Source organism: Homo sapiens, chromosome 3 (genome assembly GCF_000001405.40).
Source record: "Homo sapiens chromosome 3, GRCh38.p14 Primary Assembly".
NCBI lineage: Eukaryota > Metazoa > Chordata > Mammalia > Primates > Hominidae > Homo > Homo sapiens.
In genome coordinates, this window is record NC_000003.12 from 110,919,748 (window position 1) to 110,942,351 (window position 22,604).

Consider the following 22,604-nt stretch of genomic DNA (forward strand, 5'->3'; position numbering starts at 1 on the left):
TTCTTTGAAGTGGATGTCAAACTAACACAGTGATCATACTGTAACAACTCGGTTTTTTTTTTCCTTTATTAAAGCCACAGGTCGCAAGAAGTTATCTGGATTTCATGTGAACCATGAGAAGTGAGAATTTCCAAAGACTTTTTTAAAGGAACAAACTACCAAGAAATTTTTAATTGAAAAAAAAAAAAGATAACTGTGGTCATGTGACATGAACCTAAAATTCAATATATCATTTGAGAAACCTCATTAGGAGGCTAAAGTATCTTCCTGTGTATGATAGACCAAAGTCAGAATGGTAATTGACTAGAGTACAGGATTTTAAAAGAATCAGATTTGCCACTTTATCTCAGGTTGTCTTCTCAAGGGACTTTTTAAACTCCTCAATTTTGAAATGAAAACAAGAATAAAAATAATAGTGTAGATGGATGGCTATTGAGGCAGAACTTGAAGTCTTCTAATGAGAAATTATGCATTTTAAAAACTGCCAAATACTTTGAGTTTTACCAGTGTAGACATCACTTCACTGTGGGAAGAACCATTTTTAATTAAGTGGATGTAAGACAAATAGGCATCCATTGTTCTGGGGCAAAAGTGTATTAGGCTTCTTTTTAATTTTTCCCCTGCGACTGAAGCTGCTCCACTCTAAATCCCTTAGAATATGAAATTCTAAGAATGCTATGAGGGGGATGGACAAATTTCTAAGATGATTTCTGGAAAGAAAGTAATAGAAAACCTCACCCCTGTTTCCTTTGATGTTGCAGATTATTGAAACACCTTTAGCTGACTGAGGATGATATGGCTGAGGTTAGCTGGAAGTTTAGAATCCCCTGAAAAACTTACCACAAAGAATAGATTCTGGACTACAGAGTCAGGCTGCAGATTACGCCTGGGTTTTCTTAGGCATGGTTTTCTTCCATGGAAAACTTTCCTGAACCAACCACCTTGACACAGTGGGTTTGCCACAAAAAGAAAATAAATAAGTAAGCTGTGTGAGCACATATGTGTTGAGAGTGTGTGTATGTATGTGGCTGCATGATATTGGGTCCACTGTCTGCTGGCAAGGGGTAACCATGGCTGAGGTGACCACTGCTCAGAAGGCTTCGTCTCCCTACTCAGACCTACACCTTTGGAATCTCAGCAGGGCACAGTGAGAAAGCAGCACCATTTTCAACAGCCAACACCTACCCAGTGAAGCCAGAGACTGCAGACAACCAATCAACTGATTTCCTCTTGATGGAATTTGGTTATAATCTCAATTACCCACGGAATCTGAGATAGCCTCTGGATTATTGAGCTCTGCTAGAACAGTGGTATCCTTATAATGCTAAGATGGCTGCTCCAGGTCAAGCTGAATTGAATATTTAAAGAGATATGTCCCCATTTGGTTCTGAGGTTCATAAATGCTAGTGAATCTATGCAAAAATACATCATTTAACATTTATTCCAAGCTTACTGTATGCCAGACACAGCAGCAAGCACTTCACACATATTAACCTTCATCATGTCTTATTCTTATCTTCACCATGTCATGCTTTGACAAAAGATCACACAATCATTAAGTGAAAGGCAAGCATTCAAACTCAGTCCCATCTGATTCAAGATCAGTTTGGCAATATAGAAGAAATCAGCTAGTATTATCAATCTCAAATTTCAAATGCTATTATGAAAATCTCTTAGTAAAGAAAATAATAAATAGCTGCAGCCCTGTTCATTTAAGGCGTTAGCTACTTAATCTCTTAAAATCAATCCCCTAGGGAGAGTACTGATTTATTAGAGAAAAATGAATGCAGTACAATATAAACATTACATTTTCAGAGAATAATTTCTAAGAAATTCTAAGTGAAGATCAGTCAATGATGTTGTTAGTACACTTAATACTTTATCTTTCTATATATTTTACATTGTATAACCCACCCTCCCATATGTAATTTTAATTGCTTTCCATAGGCGGCAATTTGATTGGAATTAAAGTTTAACTTGCCAACTTAAAAAGGTTTGTTTCTTATTTCAAAAAAGAAAAAAAAGGACACTTTGGAAGTATTAGCAATAATCCAAGCAAATACCATTTTCCCCTCCTATTTTGCCACTTCTCTTATTGGTCCCACTATGCTCTCATTCAATCCAAGCTTAAAACACTGAGGTCACTTATCTTTCTCCTTCTTCTTTCATATTTATATACACACCAAGGCCTGTGACTTTTTACTTATTTAATTACCCCACATTCTTGAGGTGACTTTTCTTTCTAGATTAAATATTAGCCACCATAAATTCTACTAATGATCACCTCACACAATATACCAAGGCTCTTCTTAAGCTTGCCTATCTTCAGTCTTACCTCCTTGATCCATACCATACAATCCCAAAACTGACTCACCAAACACCATGTATATCAGTTTCAATGGAGCTCTTTTTGACTATTCAAGAATGTATTAAATCATTAGCCTAGTATTCAAGAAAACCCACAATGGAGCCCCAACCTGCATTTCTATCTCCCCTTCCACCTCTGTTCTCCTAAACTCATTCCTCTCCCATCTTTCAAAGTTCAACTTAGATCATATTTCCTATAGGAAAATGCTCTGACCACGCCAAATAAAATAGACAGTCCATTGTAAATGCAAGGTGTCTATTCCACTTATTTAGCACAAAATTATTTCATGGAATTACCAGTTTATTTTCCACGTATATATCTTTATTTGAACTAGACTGCAGAAACTTGAGAATAGGAACTACATCATGCATGTTGTTAATTCTTTTTTATTTTTTGAGATGGAGTCTGGCTCTGTTGCCCAGGCTGGAGTGCAGTGGCTCGATCTCGGCTCACTGCAAGCTCTGCCTCTCGGGTTCACACCATTCTGCCTCAGCCTCCCAAGTAGCTGGGACTACAGGTGCCCACCACCATGCCTGGCTAATTTTTGACTCTTCTTAATACATATATATTTATACTCTTAATATTGAGTATAACTTCTATATTGTATATAAATATACTGTATATAAATATTACTATTTCTGCCTCATAAAGTTCCATTTAACTTATTTTGGGAAACCCAACCCTTCATGAGATTTGTTTCCATGACCTTAAATGAAATAGAGTGATGGCAGCAGATTGGAACTAGTCAGGTCAAATTTAGCTCCTATTTTAGTTGTTACTTAACATAAAGCTCTCTTTTCAGGGCCTCATGGTGGAGTTCTGTTCGTCTCCATGTACAGAGTCTGTAATTGGCATAAATGTTCAGTGTCTACAGATGTGCCAAGTGTCACAATCTGACTTTGTGACTCAAATGGATTTTGCAGCTCATACCACGGAAAAAAAGACTATTTGATGACCAGTGACATCCCTTAAGCTGACAAATCACTTCCTTGTTATCCCTGGCATCTTCCACACCTAGCCCATTGCTAAGTGACAGCTCTAAGGGATGGTGAAAGTTGAAGCAAAAAATGAAAACCAATATCATTAATTTAAATACTGACAGGACTTAGGCAGACTGGAGTTTTCAGCCAGCCATTTTGAGACAGATATAGGATTTTGCTGTTAAAATCAAAAAGCTAAGTCCCATAGCTTTCCCATGTGGCAGGTTTTAATGCCTAAAAGAAGTTTTAACAGTGGCTCAGATGGTTGCTGGTCACATACACTGTGGCTTATAGTCCTCCTCTTAAATGGGTTAACATCTTCTTTAGCTTAGATGAGTATTATTGATATGAATTCTGCTATGTCACATTAAAAGGGCATAGTAGGGGTTTCACAGCTGAGATTCAAACATACTTTGGAGATGCTGTGGACAAGAGATCTGGGTGCTAGTCTATCTGCCCGAGGCAGTCTGGAACCTCTTGGAAGATAATTCTTTCTAAGCAAAGAAGGAATCAGGCCCAAAGCCTCAGCTGACAAAATCAACATGGTTTCTGTCATGCCATCTCCCCAGGGACTTATATCTGGGTCCGAAGAAGACAGAAGGCTGTGAGTAAAAATTAAACAACATTGGGGTGCAAGTTACTACTACTTTGAAAGAACCTCTAATAAAGGATAGCTCCCAAAATGGAAAAATTAGTCCCCAGCAGAAGAGGCAGCAGTGCGGGAGAGACTAATGTGAGCAGTCAGCAACACCTGCACCCAGAGGAGGTCGCAATGCCGTGTAAATGCACCGGCGGCGCCCAGAATACATCACACAGCTTATGATCAGTCTTGTTCATGAGCACATGGCAGTCACCCTTGTTGCCTTCTCAGAAATACCTGAGAAGGGTGATTAAAGGTGTTTAGAGGGCTAGAGTCTGGCAATGACCAGTGACAGCAGTGAAATATGGTAAAACTACCAAAATGACCCCATTTTTACTCAGGGTGCAATGAGTGAAAATAATAACAATATAGCTAATGTTTATTGAGTACTCTGAACAGACATTTTTTACTTAGTAGCTTATTTGATCCTCAAGTCAATTCTATGAGAAAGGTACTACTATCCTCTTCATTTTAGAGATGAGAAACCTGAGTCCTAAAAAGATGAAGTAATTGGCCCTAAAGCTAGGAGCTGATCAGTAATAGCCTAGATATTTTAATGAAGTTCCAGAGCCTGATGGATAGCCACAAGTAATATAAGCTACTTGCTTGCACTATGGAAGGAGCTAGGAGGGCTTGTTATAAAAGCTAAATACAAATTCTTTGTTTTAATAAAGGCTAAAATTGGTACAGCTGTTTAACATTAGCTAAGTATGTACTACAGCTAAGTAGGGGATAGGACCTCACTCTTAAAATGAGCCAGAAAAATCTCCATAGCCTGGTAAGGAAACATCCCAGAGCAGGCAGCCTGATATACAGCCAGATAGGCTGAGGCCAGTACAGGACTGTTCAGCACTCCTGCAGCTGCTGCCACATTGTCTTTGAGACTCCATGGGAACTGCTCACAGAGGCTGGGAATTCTTTTTTTTTGTTTTTTTTTTTTTGGATACGGAGTCTGCTTTGTTGCCCATGCTAGAGCGCAATGGCACTATCTCAGCTCACTCTGCCTCCCGGGTTCAAGCAATTCTTCTGCCTCAGCCTCCCAAGTAGCTGGGATTACAGGTGTGTGCCACCATGGCCTGGCTAATTTTTGTATTTTTTGTAGAGATGGGATTTCACCATGTTGGCCAGTCTGGTCTTGAACTCCTGGCCTCAAGTGATCAGCCCGCCTTGGCCTCCCAAAATTGATGGGATTACAGTCGTGAGTCACAGTGCTCACCTGGGGGGAATTCTTATTCCCTTGATGTGGACAGAGCTGGAGGTAGATACTCTCTGCATATTGGGAAGGCCACTGTTGGTACTTACCTGGGCTAGGCTTAAGGAGACTTTAATTCTTCCTGATTTTTCCTACAAACTTATTTTCTCACTCTAGGTATTAGTTTCCTTTGTTATAAAATGAAAGAGTTGGAACAGCTCACCTCTGAATTTCTGTGTGACAAAGAAATAAAGACTCTGAATTAGAAAACTGGGAAAGCAGTTTTTATATTTTTACTATAAACTTTTAGCAAGAAGGAAGGAAGGAAGGAAGGGAGGGAGGGATGGAGGGAGGGGTAGGGTAGGGGAGGGGAGGGGAGGGAGGGAAGGAAGGAAAAGAAAGATTAACACTTCAAAAATAAGCTAATAGAGGCAGGGGTTTAGGATTATAGTGACTCTAGTGACTCTAAGAAAGGTAAAACAGATGACAGAAAGGCGGAGAGGGGGAGAAAGAGAGAAGACATCCCAAAGTTAGCAGCTCCTAGAAAGGGGTGAAAGGTCTTCTCCAGGTTTTAATAGAAATAGATTAAACCTTTCCTTAGTGTGTTAAAACAGCCTGTAGGATATTTTATGGGCCAAGACAAATCACAGCCTTCTCCATTCAAGACCCAATGTACAAAAGAAATGAGGTGGAGAATACCAGGAAGGTTTAAAAGTGACTCTATCTGCTAACAATCAGGGACACGCTTCTTGACCTTGTAAACAATGGAACTTCTGGATTCATCTCCTTTAGAAGCCTTTGTCCCTTAGAATGTTTTAAACTAGGCTAGACAAAGAGTGCACTGTTTTAGAAATGTTCTATATTGTATTAAAGAGCTTATGGTAGAGAATGGTCTGATGGGGATCCCTGGGGTAAAGAACTGGGTGACCTATAACTTCTTTATTCTTGTGGATTTCTGCTATCTTAAACCTTTTGCTGCAAGTATCACGTCCCTGAGGAATGGGGAATTGAAATTCAACAGGTGGCTTGGCTGGCTCTTTCCAACAGATGTAGGAGACGCATGCCAAATATTCTGTCACCAACGTCACCTAAATCACATGCATGCGAGCTCACTCTTGCTCTCTAATAAACACACACACACACACACACTCATCACCTACACACTTTTCTCCTGCCCTGCACTTCTGGCAGGGGACTACAAAGTCAAAGTGAGGAAGAAGGCTTTGCTGCTGTGCAGTGTTTAGAGTTCCCCATGAAGTAAGACACAGGGAGAGGGCCAGTCATACTTCTTATCTCATCATTGCCCTAACAATGTACCCATTTTAGGATAGAAACCTCAACAAAAAAACAAAAAAAACAAGGCATCCTACAATGTATCAACCATGTAAGAATAAATTCACTAGGAATAACTCAATTCTCTGATCCTAAATACAAACAAAAACAAAACAAACTACCAGCTAAACAAACTGAACTGAGATTATGCTACTCTCTGTTACCATTTTAGTGTCATATAGATTCTATAGGCTCCAATCCTAGAAAATGCCTAAAAATGATGCTGGATATAGAAAATTGGGTGGTATGGGGAGGAGAGTGGAAAGAAATCATGTAGCTCTGATTTAGTACATGTCATCATGTTTTTTATTGAATATCTGGTATGCACTGAGCAAAATATTACCCTCGCCCTCAAGGGGCTTTGAGCTCATTAAAAAAAACTGGACACGTAAATAGCCAATTAAAATGAAACAAAGTACTTTTATTATTGAGGCAAAGCAAGCATGGTAACACATAGGAAGGATTTTGATTGTGAGGTAATGGTTAGGGTAATCAGAGAAAGTTTCACAAATGGAGGAGGTTAAAGAGGAAGAAGAAGAAAATAATTTTTTCTTGCTTAATAGTCTTATCCCCAATTTACAGATTAAAAATTAAAGCTCACAAGAATTTAAAAACTTGCCCAAGATAGCTGAACTGAACTACAACAGACAGTTGTGTACAGACCTCTCTGTGTTGAATGCCATGCCATCATACCAAGGAGACAACTTTGAACTGATCCATCAAGATGTAGAAACATACAATAGACGGAGATAGAGAGATCAACATGAATAAAGAAACAGGGGAGTAAAAGTGCATTGCAAAATTTGAAATCTAATGAGGTTGAAGCATCAAACACATGGGTGGATACAGAAGATGAGACTGGAAACATTTCAAGTGGCAAATGTAGACACAAAAAGTTCATATCTTAGAAAAATATAAATCATAGTCACTCTCCCAATTGTTCATCTATGTCTCCTCCTCACTCTGATCAATCTTGATTTAAGAAAACTCCACTATATTGAAGGCATATGTGTTAGATACTCAATACTCACTAGATGGCTAAAATTGTTGGGGTTGGCGTTGTTTTTAACAATCAGATGAACAATAAATTGAATATTTTAATATTTAATATGTAAATATTTCTTGAAGAAAGAAAAGGAAGGAGGGAAAAGAAAAGAATAGGAAAATAGAGCCTAAAGAAATCAAATCCATAGATTACTCTCATGCTCTTATAGTCTTCAAAGTACTTGAAATTCATCATGCTCTTACAGTCTTCAAAGCACTTGAAATTCTATCATTGGCACACGTTAACCTACTGATAAAATTTTAGAAAATGGGGTGGGAGAAAGAAGTCATTTCATATACAAAATTTATACTAAAAAATACCAGAAAAATGAATTTCTCTTCAGCTGCTGCCATAAATTCAACTTACATGGAAACTTCATCAAATTTGCCCTAATTTCCAGGCTTCTCAAAATACTTTATCTCATGACTCAATTTATTCTCAGGCTATGATTATACCAAGTATGTACTAAGTATACACGAGATGTACATTTAGTTATAATATGATTATTGTAGTCAAATATATACTATATGTTAAAAATCATTATATATATGATAATCAAATATTAACAAATAATAACTCAACAAATACCCAATTTTTCCTTTTCAGAGACTAATTTTCTAAATGTATGTTCCTTAGTATTACTTTATTATTTCTAGAATACGTATGTTGTTTGTATGCCTTACCGTCTCTATTAAATATCAAACAAAATTGTTTTCCATATTTCCCTGCCAAGTCAAGAGAAATCCAGAAATTTACTAGGTTTCTATTGACACAGTAAATGTAAGATAGAAATCTAAAGGTTCTTAACATTGTTTATGCTGAAAATGTACCAAATTCTATTCTCAAAGGACACTGACCTGTAAAAAGTATTTGTCTTGCTTTGGTAAATACAAGCCCTATGTAAATGGATATCTCAACTTGAACTGAAGATTGCTTTGTTCTAATCAGAACTGATGTATCAGATCACTTCAATAGTGTCTTTGTTTCAAAGAAGAATCATCCATTCCCCAGATTTCTATTGCAGTATATGGTACCTCAATAAACTCAAAATGAATAAAGAAAACACAGTAATGTGTCACGTAATGACAGGGTTATATTCTGAGAAATGCATTGTTAGGTGATTTCAGCTTTGTTCAAACATCATAGGGTGCACTTAACACAAACTTAGATGCTATAGCCCATTACACACCTAGCCTATATGGTATAACCTATTGCTCCTAAGCTACAAAACTGCACAGCATGTTATTGTACTGAGTACTGTAGGGAACTGTAACACAATGATATTTGTGTATCTAAACATAGCTAAAACTAGCAAAGGTACAGTAAAAATACAGTACTTTATCTTATGAAACCACTGTCTTATAATCGGTCTGCAGTTGAACAAAATGTCAGGATGTGGAGCATGACTGCAGAATTTTGTAATTCTATAAAATAAATGTCTCTCTGAAGATAAATCATAATAAAAATATAATTTTTTGAAGTTGTCATCCTCAAAAATAGGCTCCTAAGAAACAAAAATAACCAACAACTTTCAAAATGGATTTTGTTCAGTCCTGCAGCCCAGAAGATCAAGTATCCAAAGGCATGGTGGGTACTCAATCTCCAAGATTAGCAGCTCTATCAGGCCTGTGGCCTTGTAAGAGACTTAAAGGGTATTGGGGATCTAAATTTTCATTTAGCATCCTATCAGAATAACTTTTTTCACTTTTTCTCCCCCTTTGATCTGTCTACACCAAACCAAAATATGAAATAACATGTCCCTTAAAAACTCAGCTCAAGTGTCACCTCAATGGCAGGCAAGTGCTCCTTTAAGTACCAAGTTCCACTTAAATGTCTCCCCTCTGTGCTGCCATAGCTTCTTATGTACAACTCTGAGGCTGAATTTACTTACTGTACCCTATAGTTTTTGACTTACTATCTACTTGTCCTTAAGAACAAGGAGTATGACTGACTCAACATTGTTTTCCCATTGCCTAGCTCAGAATGTGGAACAAAGCAGCTGCTCAATAAATGTTTGTTTAAATGAATAAATGACAAATAAACAATATCTATTCACTTAATAGGTAGTTCACTCTGCATACGTGCTCAAAATTGTATCCTCAGACCTTTCTATTTATTCCCTATCCTACATTTCAATGTTATACAAAGATATTCGAATTTTGGCTTCTGCGCATAATCTGACACATTTTGGTTTTCAACATTATAATGTGTATCAGATAATACATCTCACCAAAAGGGTTTTAAAAAGCAAAAATAAACATACATTTTACCTAAATATTACTTGAAACAACAGCAAGGACTTCTGAACACAATGATGAATTGATAATCTGAAACTCAGTGATTGTGTTCCACTGTGACTTGGGTATATAATTCTTCAGGCAAGGGTCTGTCAATAGACAGCTTCAAAAAATAATGAATGTTTGCAGTAATAATTTCATGGGTTGACTGAAACTTAATAGCCTTTATTTCCAATGTAGGTTTCTGATATGTTCCAGTGGAAGCAGTCTCAAATGAAATATAGTCTATTACAGTACTATTTAACCCTCTATTATTTTGTTAATCCTTTTTTGGTATTTTATTTGGTTTTATGTTTTCAGCTATGGCAGACTGTGTTAGCCACCTCAGTTTTTACTTTGCTGCATCTATCTCAGCCTTTCTCAGTCTATTCTCCATTACCCAAGAGATGCCTATCTAGTGACTAATTTTTCCTGAGTGATGAGGACCCTGCTTCATCTTGCTACAGCCAATCTCCCTCTTGACACTTTCACTATTCAAGCATCATATCCAGCAGAGGATAAAGGAGGAAACAAAAAGATAAAGGCTAACTTAATTTGTCCTGCTTATTGTCAGTAGTAGAAAGGTAAAGACTCACATTAATAAAAGTTTTTGGTGTTCATAGCTGTGGAAATGTTTGACTACCAGGAATACAAAATTTGAGGGGTTTGGGTGCGCAGACCTACATATATATACACAGAGAAAACTGAGCAACTTGTTACCAGGTACAGAGTACAATCTTAGCATTTTGAGGGAGGAAGAAGTGAGACAAAAGCAAGGTTACTATTGAAACCCTTGGGTTGCTAAGTATATAACATACAACAGAACGTACTTGCAAATAATGGTTCTTATTTAGGAGTATGCGTCTAGTCACTTGAGCTGGTTTTGCAAAAATACACACAGCTAGTGTCTACCCTAAAAGAATGCACCCAAAGCTCCAGAGGTTGCCTAAACACAAGTATTTTAAAAACAATATATCAAATTATCCAGATGAGTCTGATGCAAATTTTAAATAATAACAAACCACTGCTTAATTATTGTCCACATAGTGCCAAAACGAATTAATTCAATAAAAATTAATAAAATAGTTTAGAATAGTTAAATGACAAAAATTCCTTGGCAAGATGTTTTCTTTGGGTCCTCTGCCTGTGCTCATGGCGACAATGGCTAATATGCTTTTCATGATACTGATGCACAGTGAAGTGTCTAATACCACAGACTCATTCTGTAAGAGAACAGATCAAGTCAATAAACATAGCAATCACCTTCAATTACCATTATCTAAACTAGACTAAAAAAATCACACATTTAATTAAAACTAGAATGAGGTATCACCTCACACTTGTTAGGATGGCTATTATAAAAAAGACAGAAGATGACAAGGGTAGGCAAAGTTGTGGAGGAAAGAAAATCCTTGTTTATTGTTTGGTGGGAACATAAATTGGTAGAGCCATTATGAAGGTTCCTCAAAAAATTAAAAATGGAACTATACAATATGAAAGTCCCAATTCTGGGTATATATGCAAAGGAAATCAATATCTGGAAGAGATATCTCACCCACATGATCACAGCAGCATTATTCACAACAGCAAAGATGTGGAAACAACCTAAGTGTCCATTGATGAATGAATGGATAGAGAAAAATGTGTTTATATATACTGTATATATTACATATTGTGTATGCAAAGGAATATTATTCATCTATAAAAAACAAGAAAATCACACCATTTGCAATAACATAGATGAGTCTGGAGGACATTATGCTAAGTGAAATAAGCCAGACACAGAAAGACAAATACTGTATGATCTCACTTATATGAGTAATCTAAAAAAATTATAATTTATAGAAGCATAAAACAGTGGTTAGCAGGGGCTGGGGCATGAGGAAAATGGGGAGACAATTGTCAAAGGGTACAAACTTTCAGTTAAAAGATAAGTTCTGGAAATCTAACATACAGCATGGTGACTATAGTTAATACTGCATTGTTTACTTGAAATTTGTTAAGAGAGGAGATCTTAAGTGTCCTCACCCCCCCAACACACACATACACACATGCACACACATATACACAGATATATACACATATAAATGATATACACATATAAATGATACACACTAAGTATGATAGTGGATGTGTTAATTTGATTGTGGTAAACATTTCACAATGTACACATATATCAAATTATCACATTGTACCCCTTGAATATACATAATTTTTATCTGTCAATTAGACTTTAATAAAGCTGGAAAAAAAAACTTGTGACCCTAAAAGTATCACATATTTAGACAAAATTTCACCAAGAGCACATGTTAAACTCTGTCTTAGTCCATTTGGGGCTACTCGAACAGAATGTCACAGACTGGGTAATTTATAAAGAACAGAGGTTTATTTCTTCCCATTCTGGAGGCTGGGACGTCAAAGATCAAGGTACCACATGTAGTGCGGGCCTTCTTACTGTGTCATAATATGGCAGAAGTCATCACACATCAAGAGAGCAAGAAATCAGACTGGCAGCCTCGAAGCCCTAATGCCCTCATGAATGGCATTAACCTATTCTTGAAGGTAGAGCCCTCGTGACCCAACCACCTACCAACACTGTTTCATTGGGGATTACATTTCTAATGCATACATTTTGGGGGCACGTTCAAATCATAGCAAATCCAATGAATGGACTATAATAAAGAATGAGAGTTTTTTCAGAGTTCCTTTTTGCCTGCTCTAGAATTAATGAGGTACCTATACAAACCTAGTAAATTATTAATTTATGAAAGTGAAGCTATAATAATTATACTAAACTACAGTATCCAGAAGATACTACTAGAAAAGATTTAGGCTATCCAGGATATGTTTCTTTTATTCTAGAGTTGATGACAAAGTAATGAGAGTAAAGAGACAATGACAGCAATCTCAGAGGAAAGCTGTTTTCAATGGAAACATAACATCTGGGATGGGGTTAATAAAAGAAAATGGTTGATCTCTTTGATTCCAGTAAAATGACTCCTCTGCTGAGCAAAAATTTAAGGGGAAAAAACACCAAAGAGTTGACCTCTCTACCAGAGTGATTCTCTGGACAGAAATCAAGAATGCTTCTATGTTCTCAACAGCACTCATCATCTTGCTGGCCTTCAGTCAGTGTTAATAATTATAACATGTCTGTCCCTACTGTGACCTCTGAGAGAACTTGTCTTCCATGTCCCTTCTCCTGAGAAGACCATCGTTTTCTCTCTGCTCCAGGGCCAGCCCACTTCCTTAGACAGGGATGATCTTCATCCAAATCCAGACCATTCCTACTGGCAGCTCTTGTCTGGATCCAACTGGTCTCAGCTGGAGGTCCAGATGGCTCATTCCTCATTCCCCAGCAGGGTTTCAGCAGCATCCACCCCTTCCTGATCTCTCTGCCATTAGTGCCATCAGGCTTAATGTTTTCCCTAAATTCTAACAACAGCTTAGTAGAGCATTTATTCCCAAGAATAGAGTCAACTTTAGAAAAGATGAAATAACTTTATACAATATAATGAGGTCCAATTATGGAGTATTCTAAAAGTTGATTTTTATTCATAGCATTTCCTAGATATACAAATGACCCTTATACCTATATATCTATATCTTGAATTGATCTAACAAATGACAGACAACTATGTCAAACTGATAGATGAACAGAAACTGTTTGAAAAATACCATGTGTAGAGATATAGACATATGTATATATAGATATCTATATCTACAGCTACATCTATACAGATAGATATAAAATTTTCAAAACTGACAATAGACACTGTTTAAAATATTATAGATAGATACATCCATGTTCATCTACCCATATGAAGATTTTTAAAGAGTTTCTGACAATTTGTCAGTTTACCTGTGGTTGCCATAACATGTAAGGCAAGCTAGCTATAAAGATTTTCACCAAATTTAAAGAGTGAGATGAGTGGGATGATTTAAAGAGTGGGATGATCTGACTTAAAATATACACTCTGTCAAATGCCAAATTCAATCCAGGAGGCTTTCTAAGGTAGCCAAAACTGAGGATGGCTTTTTACCTCATTTGAAGTACAGGTAACCTCTGAACAACACAGGGGTTAGGGATGCTGACCCTCACGCAGTCAAAAACCTGGATATAACTTTTGACTCCCCAAATACTTAACTACCAATAACCTACTACTGACCAGAAGCCTTATCGATAACATAAAGTTGATTAATGCATTTTGTATGTTACATGTATTGTATATTGTATTCTTACAATAAAGTAAGCTAGAGCAAAGAAAATGTTATTTAAAATCATAAAGGAGTGAAAATAAATTTGTAGTACTGTACTGTATTTATCAAGACCATAACATTATATCATCTGTTTACAAGATGAATCATCTGTCTGAAATGGCAGGCAACCATAGCTGCGGACCTTAATCTAAGGCACACATCAAGCAATTCAACTTTTTCTGCTAATATCATGACTTTGCTTCTTGGGAGCACTTCTAGCATCACTTATGGCACTTCATATGGGTCCCATAGTGTTACTCAAGTTTTATGGTATTGCACTAAGCACGATGAAGAATATTGAAGAACCATGATAGATCACTTTTTACTGCAGTATGCAATTTACTGGAGAGACAATCTGCGCATGTGGAAATGATTATCATCACATGATGTTTTTAAGAGTATACTCCCAACACCTGGGCTCAATGTGCTAGCAATAGGAAGTGCCTATGATATTATTACAGTAGCATGGTATGTACTGCAGTTAATTTTATACATCTGTGATTTAATATTGCATCTTTACATTTGTTTACATTTCTCTCAACTATGAATAGTGCCATATATGGCCTGCGTTTATTTGTATATGTTTTGATAAATTTTAACTTTTTATTGTAGATTCATGTATATGTTAGGGAAGTAAATGATAAAATAAGCTAGTATCTACATATATTTTAAACACTCACAACATGTCTAATTTTTTCTTCATTTTTCAATGTTTCTAGGCTATGAGGCTATGCCTGTGAGTTTTTTCAAACTGTCAAAAGTCTCCAAAAAATTTTTTAATATATGTACTGAAAAAATTCCATGTGTAAGTGGATTCACACAGTTCAAACCTGTTGTTGTTCAAGGGTCAACTGAATACATTTAGGATGCTCTGAATTAAGATGTGGGTTACATGGATTACACAAATTTCACTTTTTGAGCCCCAAAGAACCCCTCAGTCATCTTTCAGAACAGATGAATTGAGGAAATTGTTAGTAGTTTCTTACAGCTGCTATACAAAAAATTACCACAAACTGAGTGGCTTAAAACAAATTGATCTCATACTGTTTTGGAAACTAGAAGTCTGAAATCAGGATGTTTCCATGCTTCCTCTAATGGCTTTAGAGGAAGCTTGCTTCCTTGCTTCTTCTATCTTTACTTGCTTCTTCTATCTTTTGGTGGTTGCTGGCAATCCCTTGCATTTCTTGCCTTGTGATAACATGACTCTAATCTCTGCCCCTGTCTTCACATGGTCTTCCTCCCTATGTCTCTTCTGTGTCTTCAAATCTTTCTCACCTTATAAGGACACTAGTCACTGAATTTCGGGCCCACCCTCAGCCAGTATGACCTTATCGTAATCTGGTTACATCTGCATCACATTCACAGTTTCCAGGGATTGAGATCTCAATGTATCTTTTTGGTGGACACAATTCAACAAACGTGAACCATGTGCCCAACATGAGTGGAGAAGCCACCTTATGCCAGGCTCCAAACAACAATCTAGGAAGATGGGCCCCAGGATATAAGATGCTATGAACACAGAAAACAAATAGGACTGCAATTAGAACTCAAAAATAATAAAGAAAAAATTACTGTCCAAACTAAATTACTTGTGATAGTGGCAGGGAGTACAATTAATGTCAGGACAACAGATATAAGCCAAACTATCCTTAACAAACTGTAATGTATGGTCACTTTAGCCCTAAAGGGAAAAATCACAAAACTAGACTAGGGAGTATTATTCTGCACTTGAGTGCTTCTGGAATGGGCAATGCCATATATGGTGTTCTAGACTGAGGCATACGAAGAATTTATATATTTAACGATAGATAATAATTTCCTTGGAGCAATACTAGCTAACTGAAATAAATAAATTGTTTGTAAGTACTAGAGTGTTTCAGTTTACCTCATAATCTGCAACTGTTTTTGCTGTGAACTTCTCCATGTATTTATAAATAGACTTGGCTACACTTAAGTCCAAATCTCATATTTTCAATTTATGTTAGAAGCTTTCAAAGAACTGTTTCTATGTTGTTCTTCCCCAGTATATTTTACCACATTTGGCAGGAATGTTACTGATTAATTTTCCTGAATCTTGTTTCTCAAGCCACCAAAATTAAATCTACCATCTAAATACTTAAGGATAGAATCAGTGACTGCACAGTAAGTGCTTAGCTATCCAAAGTCACTGAAATTCAAACACAATAACAGAATGAGAAGTTATGCTTTTGTTTTAATTTTTGCAGGAAAAAAATGTTTTAAAAAACCCAATCAGATGATAGTTTATCTTAAAAAGTAGGTCATCTCCCAGAATCAAAGGATGACTATTTAATTAACTAGAAGCTAGAAATCCCAAAGAGGGTAAGCCACTGTGTGTCTCTCATTAGAGGTTAGCATTTTAGATATTTTATAAACCTAGGTGGGTCCTACCTAATAATAATCAATTACATAGTTTATGGAACCCCCATTACCTAAACATATGTTAGTTACTATGATAGTTACATAAAAATGAAATGCCACAAGTCTACAGACATTTTTATTGAATACTCTGGATATACTTACACATATAACTAGAAAGATGTAATAATAAACTGATGACCCGGTTAAAAATAAGAGTATTTTAGTCCCAGCTACTTGGGAGGCTGAGGCAGGAGAATCGCTTGAACCCGGAAGGCGGAGATTGCAGTGAGCCGAGATTGCGCCACTGCACTCCGGCTTGACAACAGAGAGACTCTGTCTAAAAAAAAAAAAAAAAAAAAGAGTATTTTAAAGCAGGAGGCCACTCAGTATGGACTGGAATTATAAGGAAATTCTTAGAGTAAGTGTTGTAAGTGCTATTCCTTGAGGTAAGATGGTAGAAGAGAATTTACTAAGAGGGAAAAAGAATGTGCAAAGGCACAGAGGAGAGAAGAAAGAACTAACGTTTATTAAGTAACATTACATTTTAGGCAGAGCACTGGACACCTGACTTACATTATTTAACTTGATCCTCACAGCAAGTCTAGGAGGTAAAGTATAAGTGATAAATAAATTGTAAAAGTAACACAGCTGGAAGGCAGCAGAGAGAATATCTGAGCAAGGATTGTCTGAATCCAGAACCTACTTTTGTGCTGTACACCATGGTACCTATTCCAGATAATAAGGAGACTAGCCTAGTAGGAGCCAAGACTTACTGTTGGAAAGGAGTGGGCTCTCCCAAGCAAGGGGAACCTCAGCTCTCTGGGAATAGGCAATGCACTGAGGTAAACTTTCCTAGTTTGGAAACTGGCACATAATTTCCATTTTCTCTTCTACAACTATTTAAAGAAATTACTGTAAAATTTTAGTTATTACAAGAAAATGTGTGAAAAAAGTGACTTTACACAGCTGCCTGTGGGAGTAATTTTTAGCAGCTTGAATTTATATTAATATAAGCTAGAATGTAAGTGTAAATGTGATAAGTCAGTACTGCCATTTGGTATAGTTCAGGGTCATTTTTCTTTACTTGTTTGACATCGGTTATCAGATGTTTTCTTCTTTTCACATACAAAGGACCATACAGGAAAGGATGGAAAAAAATAATCACTTGGCTCTTCTTAGGGGTTTTTTGGCTTGGCTATACGTTCAGTGGTGAAGGTTTTCAAAGCTTTCAAGTAGCCTATATAGGAATGGATAGTCTATATAGGAATGACTAACTACCAAAGAACAAGAAAGGTTCCTGTATAAAGAAATGCTTTAAACTAACAAAACTTTAATGTATACTTTCTCGTTGATGGATAAGAATCTACAGGTTTCTTAATTCACAGTGACAAAAGGAGCTACGGATGCCATCTTTTTATCTCCACATGTGGGACCTTGTTTCTACCAGTTAATTAGTGTTGGTAACCCACGTGATATGCTACAATAAAAATGCTATACAATATACATAGGTGTTGGTGAATGTATTAGCAGCATTGTTTGCATTTTCTTGCATTGAAATATGGATTCTTCTTAATGTGCTTCATATTCCTTAAGGTGAAGATTTTTTAGCAGGGTAAGTTTCAACTCATTTAACTCAAGGTTTTACAGGAAAACCTGAGTAGCTAATAATGTGTAAAGATGTTTCTCTCCAACCTCTTGGATTGGGCAAATGTGCACTGCATTAACTCATAAACAGGTTAAGAGCAAACCAACTTTCCTTCCTCTGAAATATGCTGGAGAAAACTGTCTAGGCAAAGTAAAAGGGGGAGGTGGAAAAAGCTAAATGCTTCTACAGAGTTACTGGACAGAGTAAAAGAAAAGCTCTCTCAAATCTAAGAATGCTAGCTCATTGGAAGACATTTTACTAGGTTATAGATTCTATGCTAGTCATTCAAGATACGACTTGAACATGACAGACACAGAGCCTGCAATCTAGCTGGGCAGGCATACAATGAAGCCAGCAATAAAAGTAGTGTCATAAGCATTTTTCTATGACTTGGGATATCAAGGAATATTTTTTAGAGACGTAATATATGAAGGTGAGTTATTTAGATGAACATTTGGGGTAGATTACAACAAAGTGGGAAATTGGTTTATTGGGGATGTTCCAGGCAAAGATAACCATATGTTCAAGGGCCTATGGCACATCCATACTATAATCAAGAAACTAAAAAATGTTCAGTATGCCTGGAGCATAGAGAATTCCTCTTATAAGGCCTGCTTCATATAAATACATTGAATGGACATAGCTGTGAGCCTTCCTCTCAAAGAGGTTAAATCCATTTGGGCAGATAAAACTAAATTGTGACTCAATCAAGGATTAACTACATAGAAAAGAAGTGTTCAAAGATTATTAAATCAGTCAGAGAAAAGGAAACCTCACCTCCCTTTCTCTTCTCTTCAGTATCTCTGTGAACTATAAAAGAAGTTCTTTGAAAATGAAGAACAGGAACCCATGTAACTCAGACTTCTTAGAAGAGGTTGAAAATTTGTCTGAGTATGAGTATGCTCTCTGGTAATCTTACAAGAGGTAAATCAAAAGTATGCAAGGAAATACTAGTGAATGTCAGTATTTGACTGAAGGTAGGAGCATGTGATGAAGAAGCCACATGGCAAAAGCATCAGGTAACCTAGGAGAGGGCAAGAGTTGGTCAAGAATGCAGTGAGTCAATACATATGGCTCTTTGATCTGAGTGGGAGTTCAGTAAGTGGACTGGAAAATTACAACAGAATACAGATAGATATATAGATAAATACATATGTAGATATATAGTAAAGAGGATAATTTTATTATTCTCTAGGGAAATTCTGAGACCTAGCACAAAACTACTGGGGAAAAGTGGGTCCTGAGATCTTTTTAAGTGTCAAATCCCTTATAACCCTGTACAAGTTGTAAGAAACTCCAGCTGCTTCCATCCCCAGGAAAGATTAAGCAGCCACATCACCATTCACTGGTCAATTTTCATAAGGCTTACCTATCACCCACAAATGGCTCATTTTCCTTAAGAGGATTATTAGACACTTGAGTTAGTCAAGAGGTTAGAGACTCCAGGCTCATCTACTTATCCTCCTTTCTTGGTGCAGACTTAGTGCTCTTTTTTGTGGTAGTAGAGGTTACATCACCCAAGGTATCTCTGGGTAGGTCTATCAGCAAGAGGATATGTGAAGCCTGCTATGCTGATCTTTCCTCTGTACAGTTTAGATGGTCAAATGTGTTTGTCTTAGAAATAAGAAAATAGGACAAAGATGAGGAAGAGAAAAATGAAGGGTATGGAGTAAGCTACATACAAGTATAAATGAGGAGAAAGAATATACAACAAAAACATGAAAGACAGGGCTACAAAGGTATAAGGATACAAAGTGAGGAAATAATTGGTTAGGTGAAGTATTTGTGACTATCATTTATATAAACTTTCATGTGTAGCAAATGAAATTATATGATGTTTTAGGGATACATTTGTAACTAAGTTTTTAAAACTGACTGGAAAAATTACATTCCATTCATAAAATGGCCCCCTCTGTGAGGGAAGTAGGGAGAAGAACGGGACTGGGAAAATGAACCAAAGAATGTCAATTTTATCTGTACTTTAAGTCCAATGCAAAACATGACAACAACCACATTTGTAAATTCCAGGTGAGTACTTGTGTGTTTGTTATATTACTCTCTATATTTTTAGAACGTGTGTTCTTGTCTTGTTTTCTTAAACTTTTTAAAATAAAAAGTGAGAGAGAGATGGAAAGGATTTTGAGGACAAAATGTGATATAGCAAGGTGCATGGTCTTAGCCACTAATTACCAGCCAAGGGAGACAGACAAGTATCTAATGTCACAGCATCTGGAAGTGACTGGAGGGCAGTTTCTCACCCAGACTAAGGAGAATGATGTTTGGTTTCCCTTCTAGTCTTGGTATGTTTTCCCTAACACCACCTTCATGAAACACTCTGGTTGCTTTGCAATTGTTGTCTGTAGCTCAGCTTTGTTTACTTTCTGAGGTTGCTGATTAACTGACATGTTTTCTGTCAAGTGAAATTTACAGACACATTACCATGTTTGACAGGCACTGTGAGCTAACGTACAAGAATTTCTTGAGGAGCAAAGTTTAGCATGCACTATTGGAGGGCTTTTATAGTCATCTAGCTAAGGTGGTGCTCCCTAGGTCTATTCACACCACTGGTTTGAAAAGTTAAAATTCCCTCAGTTAAAATTCTTATTTATCAGATGTCTGTATTTCCAAAAGGAACTTTTCTTGTAAATCAAGATGAGGGTATAAGTATAATAGATACTTTGAACAAACATTATTACTAATAGGGTATGCTTAGCAAGCAAGAGAGCTGCTTCACATCATATGAGAGCAATGTTTTTAAAGCTTCAAGCCAATAAGTTTCCCAGGACTCTAAATAATTGCAGAGCTGGGAAAAGAAAAACTGAGGTACTTTGAAAGACAAAATAATAGAGGCAAGTACATAGAAAACAAATTGATTTGTGTATTTTATTGTGCAGGAGATATAGTAGCCCAACGAAGTAGATAGGTTAATGAATTTCCTGGGGTCACATACAATGAGGTTAACAACAGCAGATAGAATCAATGGATAACCCTACATCTGAAGGGGAAAATGACATACAAAGTAATTTTTAGATATCCTTCAAGCACAGAGGGAGCCTTGAATATAAAATTCAGAGTGAGAAAGTTTCACTGAAGATGAGAGGAAAGTGGGATTCTGTGATTTAAGGAATACATACTTTTTGCCTATTACAAGCCACATCAATACCCACTATCAGCCCACTAGCCCCTACTTACCAGAAATAAGGCAAAACGTGGCTGAGGGTCACGAAGTAATGCAGATTATAATTTATCACTTCTAGGTCTGTTACTTAGCTACCGAAATAGCCTGTCTTCTTATTCATATATTCTCAGCTGCCTCATTAGCAGTTACATACATATATTTGAGTGAGTTCTGAGGCTGAAGTAGAGACCAAGAAACTATTACATGGATACAATTAAAGAAAAACTGAGTTCTTAAGATACAATCTATGACCTGGGCTATGGTCTGGAAGTACTGAAAGAGTACATTCTTGCTTTGGAGTACTTCTGGCCCAGGTTAGAAATTTCACTAGTAGAACTGGAAGCAAAGGAACAACAGATCAGTCACCTGAAAGCAACTGGAAAATAGAACTGTTTCTGTGATGGTTTTGTGCTAAAGAAGAGGCAGGTTTGTTTCCTAACTGATAAAAATGGACAGTTAAGCTGCCAATCTTCTAACCTTGTTGTAAATAACATGTTACATATGTGATCATGTGCATCCATATATGTTACACATACACACATATAGAAATATCATTCCCAAATATATTTATGTAAGTATAAATTTATTAAGGAAATACTAGTACTTTGATCCAGTAAGGGCCAAGTACTACAAAACCATGGCATAGTTTCTCTCATTACTAAATGAGTCAAAAAATAAAAAAAGATAAGCACAATAAAATTGAAACAAGAACTGGACTTCTGGCAGATGCTTCTCTTATGTGATGTTTCTTCTAAAAGGGATGAAATGCAGATGAAATTAAGAAATGAGAGTTTAAATGTGTTTTGTATAAATGTGAGGAGTAAACATGTTGAGCAGCTGAATTACTAGCATATGTGTTGAAAGAGAAGTGTGATACTATTTGAAGAACTAAAATTGGAGATGAACAACGACAATGACCAAGAAACAAATTGTCTAGGTGTTAGTTTCAATATAGGAGATGAGAAACAGAACAAGAGGCTAGAGAGAGGATATGGGAAATGCTCTGAACCAATTATATTTGGCAAGTATTTGAGAAATGTGTAGGGAGAGGAAGGTAGGTTAAGTGCATGATAAAAAGAAGGGAAGAGCGAGAAGCCCATACCAACATACTTTCTTAAGCAATCAATTAAATACAATTTCAAGTTAACTTGTAATCATGATGTTAATATATGGTTAAAAGGACCAATGTGGCCAGGCATGGTGGCTCATGCCTATAATTCCAGCACTGTGGGATGCCGAGGCAGGTGGAACACCTGAAGTCAGGAGTTCAAGACCAGTCTGGCCAACATGGTGAAACCCCATCTCTGCT

The 22,604-nt window shown here is 36.7% G+C and overlaps 1 long non-coding RNA gene across 4 annotated transcripts in view; it reads right to left on the bottom strand.

The window, feature by feature from the left end:
• LOC151760 (putative uncharacterized protein) overlaps positions 1-22,604 on the bottom strand; it is a 183,623-nt gene that overhangs the window by 31,604 nt on the left and 129,415 nt on the right. The window contains exon 1 of one of the 4 annotated variants that reach the window (XR_001740844.2): positions 5,291-5,404. The exons of the other annotated variants lie outside the window; for them this stretch is intronic. This is a non-coding gene — a long non-coding RNA (putative uncharacterized protein LOC151760). Of the gene's footprint in view, positions 1-5,290; positions 5,405-22,604 lie in introns of those variants that run through there. 4 annotated transcript variants of the gene reach the window in all.